Below are 17,169 nucleotides of genomic sequence, written 5' to 3' on the forward strand. Positions count from 1 at the left end.
AGCAGCCTGACCTAGAGAATATTTAACATTACTCAATTGTTATAATGAGTGAACCAGAGTTTGCTTCAGGCTAGAGCTTCACAGAACTTTTATCACCATAGTTGCTAGTGAGTACCAGAATTACATTTTTCTGCCTAGTTTATTATGCTGTCCCTGTTCCCTAACATGAATAAACACAGAAATACTTAAAGTAGAAAGCAGATAAGTAAAAAGCAAAAGATTAATAGGTTATCAGTCTTCAGAGAATTGAATTTTGTTTTTTAAATGACTGAGTTTATATATTGGTCAACCAAAAAAAACAAGTTGCTATTGAGCAGGTTTTTTCTCAAGCTCTAATTAGCATGTAAATACACAAAAGAAAATTGTATTTCATGATGTAATATTTCTCAGAAATGTCATATTCATTTAGTAATAAGTAGACTATAGTTGACTTTCAAGATTTGCTTTTTCTGTACCAACAAATCCCCATGCTTTGAACTCTATGGAAATTAAAGCTAAATTTCTTTAAAGGAGTATCATTATGTCTGTCTAGTTTATTCGATGCTAAAATAAGATATTCTTCTTAGAACTTTGCTCAAAGAACTAAACTGAATGAAATTCTCAAAGTATAAGATACAAGGTTAAGTTGGTGATCAGAAGTTATAAAAGCAGTTGTAAAAATAAAACATGATAAATTTAGAAAATATTCTCTTGAAAATAATTACATTTGATCCCCACAAATTTTTGAAGAAATCAGATAGTATAGATGAGAAATTCATGACCAAAAGAGTTAAATGACTTGCCCCAGCCAAGTGGCAGACCTAGGCAAATCTCCTGACTTCATATCCTGTGTTCTTTGCTACCCTGCCTTTAATGCACTGAACTAGAAGAGGCTACTCATCTGACAAAGGGCTAATATCCAGAATCTACAATGGACTCAAACAAATTTACAAGAAAAAAACAAACAACCCCATCAAAAATGGGCAAAGGATATGAACAGACAATTCTCAAAAGAAGACATTTATGCAGCCAAAAGACACATGAAAAAATGCTCATCATCACTGGCCATCAGAGAAATGCAAATCAAAACCACAATGAGATACCATCTCACACCAGTTAGAATGGCAGTCATTAAAAAGTCAGGAAACAACAGGTGCTGGAGAGGATGTGGAGAAATAGGAACACTTTTACACTGTTGGTGGGACTGTAAACTAGTTCAACCATTGTGGAAGTCAGTGTGGCGAGTCCTCAGGGATCTGGAACTAGAAATACCATTTGACCCAGCCATCCCATTACTGGGTATATACCCAAAGAACTATAAATCATGCTGCTATAAAGACACGTGCACACGTATGTTTATTGCGGCACTATTCACAATAGCAAAGACTTGGAACCAACCCAAATGTCCAACAATGATAGATTGGATTAAGAAAATGTGGCACATATACACCATGGAATACTATGCAGCCATAAAAAATGATGAGTTCATGTCCTTTGTGGGGACATGGATGAAATAGGAAATCATCATTCTCAGTAAACTCTCGCAAGGACAAAAAACCAAACACCGCATGTTCTCACTTATAGATGGGAATCGAACAGTGAGAACACATGGACACAGGAAGGGGAACATCACACTCTGGGGACTGTTGTGGGGTGGGGCGAGTGGGAAGGGATAGCATTGGGAGACATACCTAATGCTAAATGATGAGTTAATAGGTGCAGCACACTAGCATGGCACATGTATACATATGTAACTAACCTGCACATTGTGCACATGTACCCTAAAACTTAAAGTATAATAATAATAAAAAAAAAAGAAAAAACTGTCAGGAATACAACATAACTCCGCTCAGTGAAATCAGGATATGCTTTGTTTAACTGTACTTGTGTACAGCTTCTTTTCTGAGCACTAGCTTGAATTTAATGGGCTTTAATATGTTCATACATCTTCTAGGTTTCCGCAGACATGCAGCTCCAGTTACAAGAAGGCAGTTCCCACACGGTGCACACAGGATGGATTACCTGCACTTTGAGGATGATAGCCGTGGATGGTGGTTTGACATGGATATGGTGATCATATATATTTATTCAGTGAACTGGGTCATTGGATTCATTGTTTTCTGCTTTCTTTGCTATTTTTTCTTTCCGTTTTAGGAATTTCATACCTTACTACAATTGACCAATCATAAATGATGTAAATAACAATTGCTTAAACATTTTTAAATGTGCTTTGAAGTTTTTTTAATGTTGCATTATACAAATTGTTGATGTTTATAGAAAGCCTGAGAATAATGAATTTATTTATTAATGTTTTTCATGTAACAAACTAAACTTTATTCAAGAGCTAACCTACCCAGCACTTAGCAACAATGCACTATTAATTTCATAGTTGTTCTTGGGTTAGGATTTGGGGCTCTGATTTTATAATATCACTTTAATACTTATTTTGATTGTAAAAAACTGAAGTTTTCTCTCCACTTAAAAATAGTAAAAATACAAAAAGAAATGATAATCTAGGTAGATATTATCTTTACTGATAAAATATTTAGTCAATCACCACTTATTCTCAGGCAAATTATATGTATTAAAGATAAACCATATTCTCTGGGAACTAATCTAGCAGGGTATATTCAGTTTTGGTTTCTAATTGTCACTACTTATATCCCTTTCTAGTACCAAGAAAACTGACTATTCTTTTTGTACAGATCTAATTAGTACAACATTTTAAATTATTATAAACAGAATACTAAATACAAATCATGAGACTAATCCCTACCAATAAACACTTTAGCTAGCTATAAACACTTTCCAGATTGAAGGATTAATCACCAGAAGACATGAAAAATTTACCGACTTTTAGTAGTCTAAAAGAGCAATGCATGGTCCAAAATGTAATTTAGTGATTCATTTAAGTAGGAGATGGTCAAATATATTGTAAATGTGCAATAAAGAGTGGCTTTTAATTTTTTTAATGTCTGAATAAAGTATTGTTATAAATAGGCTTATCGATTTTAGAAAGAAAACCTGACATTTTTAATTACAGTAATCATTAATTTTTTTCATTATTAAAATTTAAAAATAAGAGAACTGAATCATTAGAACATGGAATTGGGGCAGGTAACCCAATTCAAAAAAGGAAAAACTGGAGCAGAGACTTAAGCTTATTTATTCAGTTATTCTGGTGGTCTTTGTGAAACCTGGGACAAAGTTTTTATTATGAATTACTAATCCAGTATTACTACACTATGATGTCATATATCTGGTAATTCAATAAGCAAACTTTTACATAAAATAGGTGACTCTCTCGTGGCACTAAAAATACTACCACTATCCAAAAACATTGGGATCAACTGGGCTTTAACAGTTTCAATCTATGAAAAGCCAAAATTTAAGCTAATTGCTACTAACTGTATTTCAATAAAAGCACTTGACTGTTGGTATGTGATGTTCTAAGAAAACTAGAAGAATGGTACTGATTTCTATTCTAATGCTGTTCTTATTATTGTGTTTTAAATTATATCTATTACAGAAAATAGTATACACTAGACATCAAATCCAGAAATCAGAACACTAAGTACAATTTAGAAACACAGATAAATTTATACTTATAAATGGATATTTATAATTACTAATTGCTCAAAGTAAACATAAGGGAAAATATCAGCTCTCTTAAAATATATAGCAAGATTGAAAACACACATATGAGGAGTTGCATTATTTTAAGAACTTTAAATTGCAGCCATTTCCTAGGCAACTTCTGGTTTATACACTCTAGAAAATATATCTTGATTCATTCCTAAATCACAATAAAGGTTTTAATTATGTATAAACTAAATAAGTATTATTATAGATACAGATCTCTCATAGGAACAAAGTTGATTCCCAATATATATTTGTTAGGTCAGTGATACATATCAGTTTATAGATCTCAGTCTACTAAATATTTATGATACCCTTAAATAAACATGAACCTTTAAATGAAGAAAGCATAATCTGGAAAAGCATTCAAAATGGATTGAGTATATTTATCTTGACTAATAACTTGATCTGAAAATTATAGAATATTAAAAGAAGTAAATTCATAAAATTATAAATTACTAATCTTTAAAATATTCTTAAATTTTGTAAAAGTGGAGATAAAAACTGCTAAATATTAAGAAGTATAGCATTTCCTAGATCTACCAGCTTATAAGAAGCCAGATAAAATCTCAGATGGAAAGAAACCAGTTTCTTCTGGTATGTAGCACACAGTAGCCATTCAAAATAAAATACATGGATGAGCTTTAGAGTAAAACAAAAAATTATAATGCTCTTCCTAAGCATCTCTCACAGTAAAAACTCACTGTCCAATAAAGAGCCAAAGAAAGGAAAAGAAGAAAAATGTTAAAGTTAATGAAGCATAGTACTTGTCCCAAGTAATATTATTTAATAAGCTTAATTTTATGAGTTATCATTATCAATAATTTCTATTTCTACCAAGCTTAATTATGGTAAAGGTTAATTTTAAACATGTTCACACATTCTTTTTTAAAAAAATGCCCTAATTGAGGTATATTTCTGAATAGTTTCAGCAGGTTATTTTTTAATTTTAAAAAAGCAAATTCACAAACCTAGACCCATTTATTTTATACTCAGCAGAAGACAGGGAAATTTAAATTAGACAAAGTTGAAAAAGAATCAGAATTTATATTTTACAAAGCTTCTACCACTCTGAATCAACAAAATCAGGAATGGAAAAAAAAATTTCTGTATCTGCTGAATTATTAATGCCACTATAGTATTATATGCTAAATATGAAAGCAGTGCTGCCATCAGTTTCACTTCTGCCTTGGAATCTTGCTCCTAAGTTAGCTCTGTGGCATAACAAAATTCCAGTTAATAAAATTTTCATTTAAATGTCTTTTGTATGGCTAAATGAATATACAGATTCTTAAACATCTAATTTTTATATGGATTTCTCAAAGAATGCCTTACAGAAGAGCATTCTCTGATTAAATGCAATTACAGTTGGAGTCTTTGATTCTTCACAGAATTCTGTAGTTGAAGCCAGAAAACACTGTCATTTAGGAAAGTGTTCCTAAAGGTTTGAATGCTTTAACATGCTCAACTCTTACTTCTTGAAGTGTTTGATTGTCAGTAAATTTTCGAAGAACATTAAAGTTCTACCAATGTAGAAGCATGAGGAATAAAAGATGGTCTGGATCAAGAATGCAGGAATATGATACTTGTACTTTGTTTTTGATAATTTTCATTGCTTATAACAATGAAAAACTTTAATATTTGCAGGAGACTAATATGAAATGCTACATTTCATAACTTTTATTCTGCGTGGCAACTTTGATTTGTGGTGGCTGCCTAGAATGCTTTATTGAGAAGGATTCTGAGGTTACATCCAGGATCCAGGGGGAAAAAGTTTTCTGGATCCACTGGCATTGACCCTTATATAGAGGGGAAGGAGGGTCTTAAGGGAAAATTAGCCATCTCAGATATTTGCCATCCTTGGATAAGAGCGCAGAAAATCATTCATGTTTTAGAAACTGGTATCGCCATTTGTTGAGGGGAACAAAATGTAGTTTCCTGACTATAATTAATAATACTATGATATAGTCCAATTTAGCTATGATATAATTAATAATAAACTACTTTCCAGTCTTACACTTGTCATTTTGCCTTAAAACAGAAGCTTAATAGGACCTAATTGTGAATTACATCAATTTTTAAATCATAATGATATAGCTACAGTGTAGTTTAATTTTCTCATTTCAGAAAAAAGTGAACTGTTGTTCAAAAAATGAAGTAGAGTTCTGATTTGCAAATTCTACAGAACTAAATGGACACTACTGGCTATTCTGATTCCAATATTGCAAGTAAATCGGGCAGACAGGAATATAGTACAGAAGTCAACCTAGATCAGAAGTCAACAGCAATGCCTTTTAAACCTTCATATGCCTACATTAAATCTTGGTAAAATGTATATTTTTATTCAGAAGGTGTAGGGTAGACCTGAGATTCTGCATTGCTAATAAGCAGTCAGTGATACTGATCTGCTGCCCCATGGACCACACCTGGGATAGCAAGAAACTAAAGGAAGCACATCTGAAAAGGTGGCCATGAATCTTGCTTTCTTATCATTAACTGTCCCCAAAAGACAAATTTCACATTGTTTTTGCATTTGAGAATTACACAATACTGGTTATCCAATATAAAGGAAGAATAATGAATTATGCTATAAGTAATTTTATATAAATCTGTTGAATAAGTTTTTGACATTATCTGGCACATATTAAAGTCTAGGTATCAATATGTAAGTATTTTATTTACAATCTGTAATTCAAACTTTTTCTTTTCTTTAAACAAAAAAAAATGATTTTCCTACTTTTTCCCTATTCTCTCTCATTACCCATTCTTTCTTTGGCTATCTCTATCTAGACTCTATTCATATAGAACAAATGTGAGATAATATATAGTCACTTATAATACCACATCTGGAAATAGAAAACAAAATATACTCTGGCACTTCTGCTCACTTCTAAATTTTAGTACACATTATAACTGCAAAATCAAGAGACCTTATCGTCATCCTGGGTTATATGACTAAAATTCACTTCATCTTTCTTTCCTCATTTCCTCACCTTGTGCATAACACAAACCTTCCCATAATTCTGCTGCAATAAAATTCAATTTACAAGAAGATTGTGAATTGAAACACCTATTATCCATATATTTTCATGGTGATTCTTCATAATATAAGGAGGAGGAGCTACAGTTGTTCAATGCTAAATATATGCCAGGTACTATACAGTGTTTTGCACACAGTATCTCATTTCATATAACAACCCTAAAATACTTTTGTTACCACGTCCATTTTATAGACAAGAAGATTGGAGCTCAAAGAGGTTAACTAGCTTTCTTAAAGTCCTGTAGCTACCAGTGGTACAGCTAGGAGTCCAAACCCAGGTCTGACTAGTTCTTGAGGCTATATTCTTGTCACTGCATACACCTACAAAGTTCAATTCCTGAATTAGTTTTTCTTTAACAGTAAAAAGTAAAACAAAAATTCTACCTTAGTGAAACTTCTAGGGGTCCAGTGATCTATCTATAAAATGTCAAGATACCCCTTCCAGGGTAAAAGATAAAGTGCTGCATCTAACCCTCCTACCACTAAAATAGAGGCACAATGCCCAGGGGATCCTCTTTAGATTTTAGATGTAAAATACACCTTATTGGGGTGGCTATTCTGACCCGTTTGCCAGATGATGCAAAGAGCTGGCAGTGTAGAATATGGCCCAGACAAAAGAAGGCTCTTCAATACGTTCATGTTGCCATACAAACTGCTCTGTCAATTGGGTCACATAATCTAGCAGATCCAATGGTGCTTAAAGTATCAGTGATAGATGAGGTTGATATTTGGCGCCTTTGGCAAGCTTCATTAGGTAAATCACAGCACAGACCTTTAGGATTTTGGTGCAAAGCTACACCATCCTCTGTGGATAACTACTCTCCTTTTGAGAAACAGCTTTTGGCCTATTACTGGGCCTTAGTAAAGACAAACACTTGATCATGGGCCACTGAGTTACCCTGCTACCTGAACTTCCCATCATGAACTGGGTGTTGTCTGACAAGACATAATGTTGAGTGTGAACAGCTGTACTCTGTTATCAAAGGGAGGCAGTATATATGAGATCAGACTTGAGGAGGCCCTTAAGGCACAAGGAAGTTACATGAGGGATTTGCCAGTATGTCCATGGTCCCTATTTCCCCTACATTACCTTCTCTCTTTCAATCCATACCTAAGTCTTCCTGCCTAAGACAAGTTGACTGAGGAAGGGAAAAAAAAAAAAAGAAAAAAAAACCTCAGGTCTGGTTAACAAATGGTTCTGCATTGTATGCAAGTACCACTCAAAAGTGGACAACTGAAACTCTGCAGCCTTACTCCGGGCATCCCTGAAAGACTATAGTAAAGGAGAATCCTCCCAGTGGGCGAACTTCAAGCAGTGCCCTTGCTTGGTTATTTTTCCCAAGAGAATAAAATAGCCAGAGATACCAGTCTGTAATGAATTGACTCTGACAGATGGTTTGGCTGAAGGGTCAGGGATTTAGAAGGAACATACTTGAAAACTTGTTGGCAAGGAGGTTTGGGAAAGAGGAATTTGGATGGACCTCTTCTAGAATGACACCCAGAAATATTTGTGTCAATATGAATTCTCACTAGAGAGTTATATCAGTGGAGGAGAATTTTAACAATAAAATGGAAAGAGTGACCTGTTCTGTAGACACCAGTCAGCCTCTTTCCCCAGCTACTCTAGTTATTACCAAAACACTTTGTTCAATGGGCTCATGAACAAAGTGGCCGTGGTGGCAGGGACGGAGGCTATGCATGGGCTCAGCAACATGAATCTCTACTCACCATAACAGACACTGTTGAGGACCTAAACTGTCAGCAGCAGGGATCAACAACAAGTCCCTGATATGGTATCATTTCCTGGGGTAACAGGCTGGTGGCAGGTTTACTATGCACTGGACTGCTTTCTCATGGAAGGGAAAGCATTTTGTTCTTAGAGGAATAAACTTTTACACTGAATATGATTTTTTCTTCTGTGCCTATGATTCTTCTGCTAAAATGACCAAGTACAGACCTACAGAATGCTTTGTCCACTGTCATGTATCCCACTCAATATCAATTTTAATCAAGAACTCATTTCACAACTGATGGAAGTTACTGGTCTCCTCATTTTCCCCATAATCCCAGAGCAGCTGGTTTGACAATTGTACAAAGGCCTTTGAAGACCCAACTAAGGTAACAGGTGGTGTTACTTTGCAGGGCTGGGGCAATGTCCTCCAGAATGTGGTATGTGGCCTAAATTAGCATCTAGTATACAGTGCTATTTTTCCCATTACCAGGATTCACACATCCAAGAATCAAGACATGGAAACAGGAGAGGCCTCTTTACTACTCCTAGGGATCCACCACCAAAATGTATTCTTCCTGTCCTCATAACTTTAAAATGTGCTGGTTTAGAAGTCCTAGTTCCAGAGGGAGGAATGCTTCTACTGTAGGAACAATGATTTCACTAAACTGAAAGTTGAGACTACCACCTGGTCACTCTGGATTTTTTATGCCTCTGAATGAACAGACAAATAAGGGGGTTACTGTAATAGCTGAGGTAACTGCTCCCATCAAGAGGGGATTGGGTTGCTACTACACAATGGAGGTAAGGAAAAGTATGCCTGGAATACAGATCTTCTAACATGCTTCCTAATATTCACATCCTGTGATTCATATCAATAGAAAATTACAAAAAAACAATTCAGGCAGGACTGATAATGGCCCAGACCCTTCAAGAATAAGGGTTTGATCCCAGCTAAGGTGATTGCTGAGGGCAAAGAATATGGAATGGATAGAAGGTGGCTGTTAAAAATGCCAGCTACAACTACATGACCAGTTGAAGACTGCATTAGTTACAAGTTTTCTCTTGATGTGAACGTTTGTATAATATTAAGTATTTTTGTTTTCTTCTCTCCCTTATCCTCTTATCTAACACAAGATGTGTTAATAATAGCTAACTTTACATCACAAAATGTTTTTATGGTAGTTAATCTTAGTATTTAAATTTCAAAAGAGAAGAGGAACATTACCTGAGGATTTTGTATCCTCTTTTGAGGAAAAGGTTGGCATGTTTGCAGTTGTATATGGGATAGTTGTATCATATAGGCAGTATGTTTAAAGGAAATATGTATGGGTACCAAGTTGACAAGGGGTGGTCTGTGATGGCTTTGTGATGTGTCAGCCTGGCTAGGCTAAACTCCCTTCCCCAGAATTTCCTTTCCCCAGTGCACAGTCAACCTGGTAAAGAGCCGTAAGTCCCTTTGGGGAAATACTGAAAGAAAAGTCAACAGTATAAATTTTTGACAGTGGAGTGGGTTTCTTTCTCAAGGGGTTCTGAGTCTGTTAACTGACTCAAATTTGGAAATGAAGGAATTAACTCTATGTTTTGGAAATTCAAGCCAGACTTCTGTTTACTAGACCCAGAACTCCTCTGCTTTTACAGATCAAAAAGGAATTTAATAGGTTAACCGTCTATTTCCACTCTTGGGACATCATGAGAATTTTGATCATCATGAGAACCAACAGCTTAATCTCTTTGAGTCAAACTATTCTGGTTACTTTTTTTTTTTTTTTTTTTTTTCCGGAGACAAAGCCTCACTCTGTCGCTCAGGCTGGAGTGCAGTGGCATGATCTCAGCTCACTGCAAAGTCCGCCCCCTGAGTTCAAGTGATTCTCCTGCCTCAGCCTCTCAAAATGCTGGGATTACAGGCATGAGCCACTGAGCCCGGCCTCTGGTTACTATTTTAACTCTGCTATCCATTATGGTAACCCTGCCTATCTTATCTTTGGCAATTAAGTGTCACCACTTGACCCTTAACATCCCAGGATCTATTATCTCTATTGCATTTAGGTATCCTCATTCAATGGTAGCAGTTTACTTTATAATTTCTGACCTACAGAGAAGAGAGACTACAGAGCTTTTCAAGGATGCTGATGCTCCCTCACAAATTTATTTTTCACAGTTGTGGTGAAAGGCATGTTTTTCCAGGACTGGAGAGCAATCTTGCATGATAAATACACTCAAACATTGCAATCTCAAGCCTTTAGCTACCTTCCTCTATAATATCACAAGGCATTTCTACCTCATTTAGTGTAGGCCACCATTTTGTTCCTGGCAACCAGCCAACCAACCATCTAATTAAGCCCTTCCTAACTCCTTGAGCTAAAACATTGAGTCTCTGAATAGTGAGCCTACAAATTAAGCCTGATGACTTTATATTCCTTACACCTTGATTACACACCAATATCCATTCTCACACGTAACTCCTAGATTTCTATTTATATAAATTGAAAAAAAAGCCATGCAGTTCTTTTGGTGTATATCACACCTTTTCATGAGTCATACATTGTACCTCATTTTTTGAGGGCTGCTTCAAGTTGATTCTAGTTATAGAAACAAAAAGGGGTGTTGGGGAGTAGGTCCTGTGGATCATCAGGAGTACCTTGTAAGCAACTTCCTGAGGACTAAGCTCTCATTTTTTTTATCTTGCCCAAATTCCTATCTAAGGGGTGTGGGGAGTCATGCCCTACAAACCATAAATTCTCATCAGATGGGTTTTATTTAACCCTGTATACTGTGACTTGCTTTCCAATCTGACTCTGGCATAACAAGGAAGAAAATCAAAATATTTTACCCCAAAACGTGTTTCTCTGCCATATCTTGAAATGGTCCTGCGAAGCCATCCCTTGTGGGAAAAACCCACATTCTATCAAGAATCCCCTTTCCCCTTGTTTTCCTTCCTTCCTTTCCAGATCCAGGAGATAATCAACTAAGAGCCAGGCACCATTTTAGGTCCGATAAGAAACATTTTACAACCTGTTCTCTCTGAAGTCTGCTATCTGAGAGCTTCCTCCACACAATAAAATTTGATATCCACAATCCTTTATCTTAACCTGAACACTTCCTTTCTACTGATCCCAGGTCTTCAGATCAACTCAACCAATTGTCAACCAGAAAATGTCTGAATTTACCTATAGCCTGGAAGCCCCCTGCTTTGAATTGTCCCCCCTTTCTGAACCAAACCAGTGTATTTCTTAAATGTGTTTGATAAATGTATCATGCCTCCCTAAAATACATAAAACCAAGCTGTACCCCCGACCACCTTGAGCACATGTTCTCAGGACCTCCACAGACCATGATCACTCATATTTGGCTCAAAATAAATCTCTAAAAATATTTTACAGAGTTTGACACTTTTTATCAACAATCCTCAGGGGAGGCCATTCCAGGTTATTCAGGTAAAGGAGGACTATCCTCCCATATTAATCAGAGTTCTCCAGAAAAACAAAATATATACATATATTTATGATTTATAAATATTTATATTGTTTAAATGTATATATTTATGATATATATTATAAATATATAATTTATAAGGAAATGGGTAACATAATTCTGGAAGCTGGCAAGTCCAAAATCTGCAGAGCTGATGTCCCATTTCTAGTGCAAAGGTCAGAAGCTGCTGTAGAACCAGAAAAAAGAGCCAATGTCCCAGTTAAAGTCTGAGGCTGGCAGGCTGTTGTAGAACCAGGAACAGTTGATTTCCCAGTTCAAAGGCTGTCAAGCAGGAAAATTATCCTTCTCATGGGAGCATCAGCCTTTTGTTCTGTTTAGGCCTTCAACCGAGGATTGTAGCCCACCCACATTATGGAAGGCAATCTGCTTTCCTCAGTCTACTGATTTAAATGTTAATTATCCAAAAATGCCCTCATATAACAGAAAAATATTAAACCAAATATCTGGGCACCATGTGGCCTAGTCAAGTTGACACATTACACTTCCTCAGGCAGAACTGAAAAGACTGGTTCTATGGGCAAAGATTCAATTTCATATGGGAAGCCAAGATCCCCAGCTTTATCAGAATCTACCCATATTTCCCCACTCCCATTTGTAGAAGCCCATTCCTTCCCAATCACTGGCTAAACTTTAACAGAAGTGGTTGGGAATTCAGTTTGCCATTCACAGGAGGAAACTGTGGCTTTCATTTTCAGAAACCCCAGCCTTACAGCTACAGGATAGAGTTTCTCTGAGGGAAAATGCAGAAGTTTTCAGAACATTTAGCTAGAAATTTAGAGCCCTAAGTTCATTTTTCTATGGTCACTTTCTCTAGAGCAGTTAGGAATAACCAAACAACTCCATTCCACTCCTTGTTTTGACTAAAATGTTCTCAAGTGATTCATGCTTAGACATCTTGAATCTCACCTTCTATAGGTATTTAATTATAGTATCCAAAGGTGATAATTTGAGCAACTCTTTCACCACATCATGCCATGGACTACCAATGTCTTTTAAACAACTAGAAACAGGCTTATTAGTGCCTTAAGTTTTATCAGATTAGAAAAACAATTCCAGAAAATCAGAACCAATTCAGAGAACTCATCCTTAAGATCTTTAAGGCACCTCATCCTTAAGGCACAGGCCTCTGCATCCACTTTTGATACAAAAATCTGTGTCAGAGTCCAAACAGACAAGCAGAACCAGTAGGAGATATCTATCTATCTATGCATATATGTGTGAATATACACATACGTATAACAAGGAATTGGCTTACACAGTTTCGGAGGCTGGATAGGCAAATCCGGAGTCCACAGGGCAGAGAAGATCACAAGAAGGCTGAAGCCTCACAGACACTGGCTGAAGCTATTGTCCACAGGTTTAACTCTTTTTCCAGGAGAGGTCAACATTATATTTTAAGTACTTTCAACTGATTAAATGAGGCCCACTCAGGATAATCTTCTTGACTGATTAGGAACCTTAATTATACTCGCAAAATCTCTTCACAGCAGCAGCTAAATTAGTGTTTGATTCAGTAATTAGGAGAAGGTGTGTGGAGATCACAAAACTGCTGGTGCTCTCTTCTATCTTCCAGATCTTGAGGGAATGTATCTTATAGATCACTTATCCAGAAACTTACTGAAAAAGAAATTCAAAGGAATGTTGTTTTTTTAGCCTAGCCAAGACAACATACCACATAGCCATCACATATGCTATGCTCAACTAACTGCCCTTTCACTAAATTTTATCCTTGGCCTATTGATACAAAATTACCAACCTATAATTTAAAAATTATAGCATAACTTGTAATGATTATTCTCCAGTACCATAAAAGTGTTTAGATGTCCTGTGTAGGTGGTTTGATTATCTATTGCTGAGTAACAAACCACCCCAAATTTAATGGCTTAAAAAACATTTTATTATATCTAACAATTTTATGGGTCAAAGAATCAGGGCTCAGTTGGATGATTCTTCTCTTTCAACAGAAGTTAGCTGGTGGAATCAACGGAAGTTAACTGGTGGTATTCAGCTAACAGACACACTAATCTGGAGGGTCCAAGACAACTTCACTCATGTAACTGGTACCTTAGTAGGGATGGCTGAAAAACTAGGCCCAGCTGAGAGGGTCAAAGAAAGCTCCTAATACATGATCCCTCTCACATGGCAGTCTCAGTTACTTGTTCAGAATTAATATCAAAAAATCAAATTTTTTTAAGAGATGAGGTCTCACTCCATCACCCAGGCTGGAGTAGAGTGGCACAATCATAGCTCCCTGCACCCTTGAACTCCTGGGCTCAAGGGATCCTTCCACCTCAGCCTCCAAATATCAATAAATTATTAAAGCTGATTGTAAATTATAGTGTAACCAACTAATAGCCTATTTTTATACATGCTATCTTCTCTTTATCTTTGCTGATGCTCTTTAGTTTTCCTTTATGAAATAAAGGAATTAGCTCCCTTTATGGTTTTAATTTCCTTAATCATATTTCTATCTACTCTAAAGCTTTCATATAAAACAGTACTTCTGAACCCAGTAAAACTCAGCAATAACACATAATTACAAGGCCCCCAATTCATTTTTGCATTCAGCAAACAAAAATAGTACATATTCAATAAATATTCATTGAATAAATGAATGCACACTTATAAATCATCCTCAATTGAAGTTTTCTTCATGATCTAAAGCCCACTTAAATGCCAGCCGCATATCCTGAGGATTTCAGAATGAAGTTCTTATGAAGTAAGATTTCAGAATGAAGTAAGATTTCAGAATGAAGTTAGATTTCAGAATGAAGTTCTTTTGACCTAGGAGTTTATATACTCCTTCTAATTTAAAAATAGTGTTCAGAAATCTACCTGATATCTGATTATTCAAATAAAAGCTAACACTGCTGCTGGAAACAAAGTTTTCTACTGATCTGCTTTCTATTGTCATGGATTTCAGAGATAATTGGTATATATGTATGTGAGCACATCCATTTCTACTTATGGCTAATAGAAGGCTAAAAGCAGAGGAGAAAGTAAATGAAACTAGCACCACCACAATTCTTTCTACCACATAAACCTGCACTTATGGTTCTGTTAATTATTACTTCCAATCTAGACCCTAATTGGGTGTGTCCTTTTCTTTCTATGACAGGAAAAGGCACACATGGCCTCCATAGAAATGTACCTTTGCCCTAATTATGATATGTAGATCTTTGAGAAAAGACAGGAAGACTTAAAGGATGATGTGTTTTACTTCCAAAAATTATAAACTTAAAACTGTCAGAGATGAGATATAATTAGGAAAGACCATTATTTTATCAAGCAATTAACCAATTATAAATTCATTATAAATTTGGTACCATCTGGTTTTAAATTATTGTGAAGAGAATTTTTATCATAGTTTATTGATAAATGCTACAATATACCCTCTCATTTTTTTCTACTAAGACTAAAGACTGCTGTAATTGAAATAACAGGTAAGCAAAGTACATAAGTTCACATTGTCTGTTTCATTAAGATGAAAAACTCAGGACTTCTAAAAAGAAAGTATTTAATATCCCTTTGTATACCTTACAACTTCATCATCATCTTTACTGGAACAAAGAGTAGTAATGATCAGTGTTATATACACATTTATCTTATTTTCCCCTATTCTGAATCAAGTATGAGTGACAATAGAGAGTGAAATTAAGTGGCTTTAAACCAATGGAAGGAAAAGGACATGTATTTCATTCAGACAGAAAAAAAAGATGAAAAGCAAAAATGGATAATGTATAAATAAGTACTTTGAAAAGGTTAGCATGGAAGTCATTTAATCTGGAAACAGTATGCAGCATATATATGTCAATCACAAACATGTTCATTAGTGTACATAAATTGTTCCCTGTATAACACACTACTTGTTTTAATCTTAAAGAAATACCAAAAATCAAATTACTCAAAGCCTCAGGCTTCCAATGTGTCTCCAAATAACTAATATAGTATCCACAAATATATATACAAACACTACAATGGGTTCTGATTAAAGAGAAACAACACAGAGACCAAGAAAAAAATATACATCTGATTTTCACTATAATTGGTACATTGGTAGAATAGAAAAACTGGACGGATGTGGGATTTTGCATAAAAGCAGAGAAGTATGAGAAAAGGAATAATCAGAAAATACAAAAAAGACTGGGGCAGGGGGTGGGGAGTGAATGAGAAGCACATATGACTGACCATGAGCAGATCTGCTAGCAGTGATGACATGGCAATCAGGGCAATCAGTAATGATGACAGAGATGGCAAGGAGAAGACTTGGCCAATGGAAAGATGCCAACAATGAAAAGAAATAAAATGGTTTTGCAATAGGAGAGAAGAAAGAAACAAAGCCATATGTACTTTTCTATTTTCCCTCTACCAGTTTATGTAAAAGACCGAAAGCAACCAGATTCTAGAAGGAAGGGAGGCAAGGAGGAAAGGAAAAATGGAGGGAGGGAAGGAGACAGGAAGAGAGGGAGGGAGGGAGAGAGGGAGGGAGAGAAAGAAGGAGAAAGAGAGGGAGGAATGAAAGCAAGCAAGAGAGAAAGAGACTTGGATGGCCTAATGCTTTAGGTTGACCAAAGATGGTCACACAATCACAATCTGCAATCTAAGGGAGGAGGTTCCAATTCTGGGTTAGAGATAAGCACACCCCACCCTGTATATCCTAATGAATACATCAATAAAACCTGAACAGAACAGATGGAACAGATATATGGGAGATTTTGAGTAGTAAACTGCTGCAGTTGGATTCTGGAAAAAGAACAGAATTTGTAATGTCGCTGAACTGACAGTGAGTTTACTAATTTTTTTTCCTCCAGTAACTCTCAGCCTAACTTTAACATACCAGAAGTGGGCAGAAACATGTAGGCAGAGAGAGCTCCAAGAGAAGCCCACTAGCTCTGGCTGCAAGCAGAGAAAAAGAACTACAAAAGCTCAGAAAGACTGCTTCTTTCCACCACATCAAGCCCCCAAGCAATACAATGGTGGTGTCAACAGGCAGAGGCAACAGGAGACTGCAAGAGCCAAAACTCTAAAAGAGAGGAGCTGTCGTTCAAAGAGTGTATGAAAACTCCTCATTGCCTTTTTCTCCCTTAGTTCCCCTTCCCCACTACCACTTGATCCTTGATGTGGGGTACTTGAAGAAGTATATGGCAATGTGTGGTAACTAAAGTGTTGGCTTTCTGGCTGAACAACTAAAAAGAGGAGTCTTGAGGAACCAGAAAGTTTGAGGGAGATGGTGGAGAGGTGAAAGCTCAGGAAAGCAAACCCACAAAGTCATTTATGAACTCCTAAG

General features: G+C 36.0%; 1 protein-coding gene across 8 annotated transcripts in view; it reads left to right on the forward strand.

Moving 5' to 3' along the window:
* RNF180 (ring finger protein 180) overlaps nt 1-5,188 on the forward strand; it is a 207,519-nt gene extending 202,331 nt beyond the window's left edge. For all 8 annotated transcript variants that reach the window (XM_047417118.1, XM_047417120.1, XM_017009388.2 and 5 more), the window contains exon 8: nt 1,934-5,188. In XM_047417118.1, the coding sequence (XP_047273074.1) occupies nt 1,934-2,133 (200 nt within the window). In that variant the 3' untranslated portion in view covers nt 2,134-5,188. The remainder of the gene's footprint in view (nt 1-1,933) is intronic.
* The last annotated feature ends 11,981 nt before the right edge of the window (nt 5,189-17,169 follow it).

Source organism: Homo sapiens, chromosome 5, assembly GCF_000001405.40.
Source record: "Homo sapiens chromosome 5, GRCh38.p14 Primary Assembly".
NCBI lineage: Eukaryota > Metazoa > Chordata > Mammalia > Primates > Hominidae > Homo > Homo sapiens.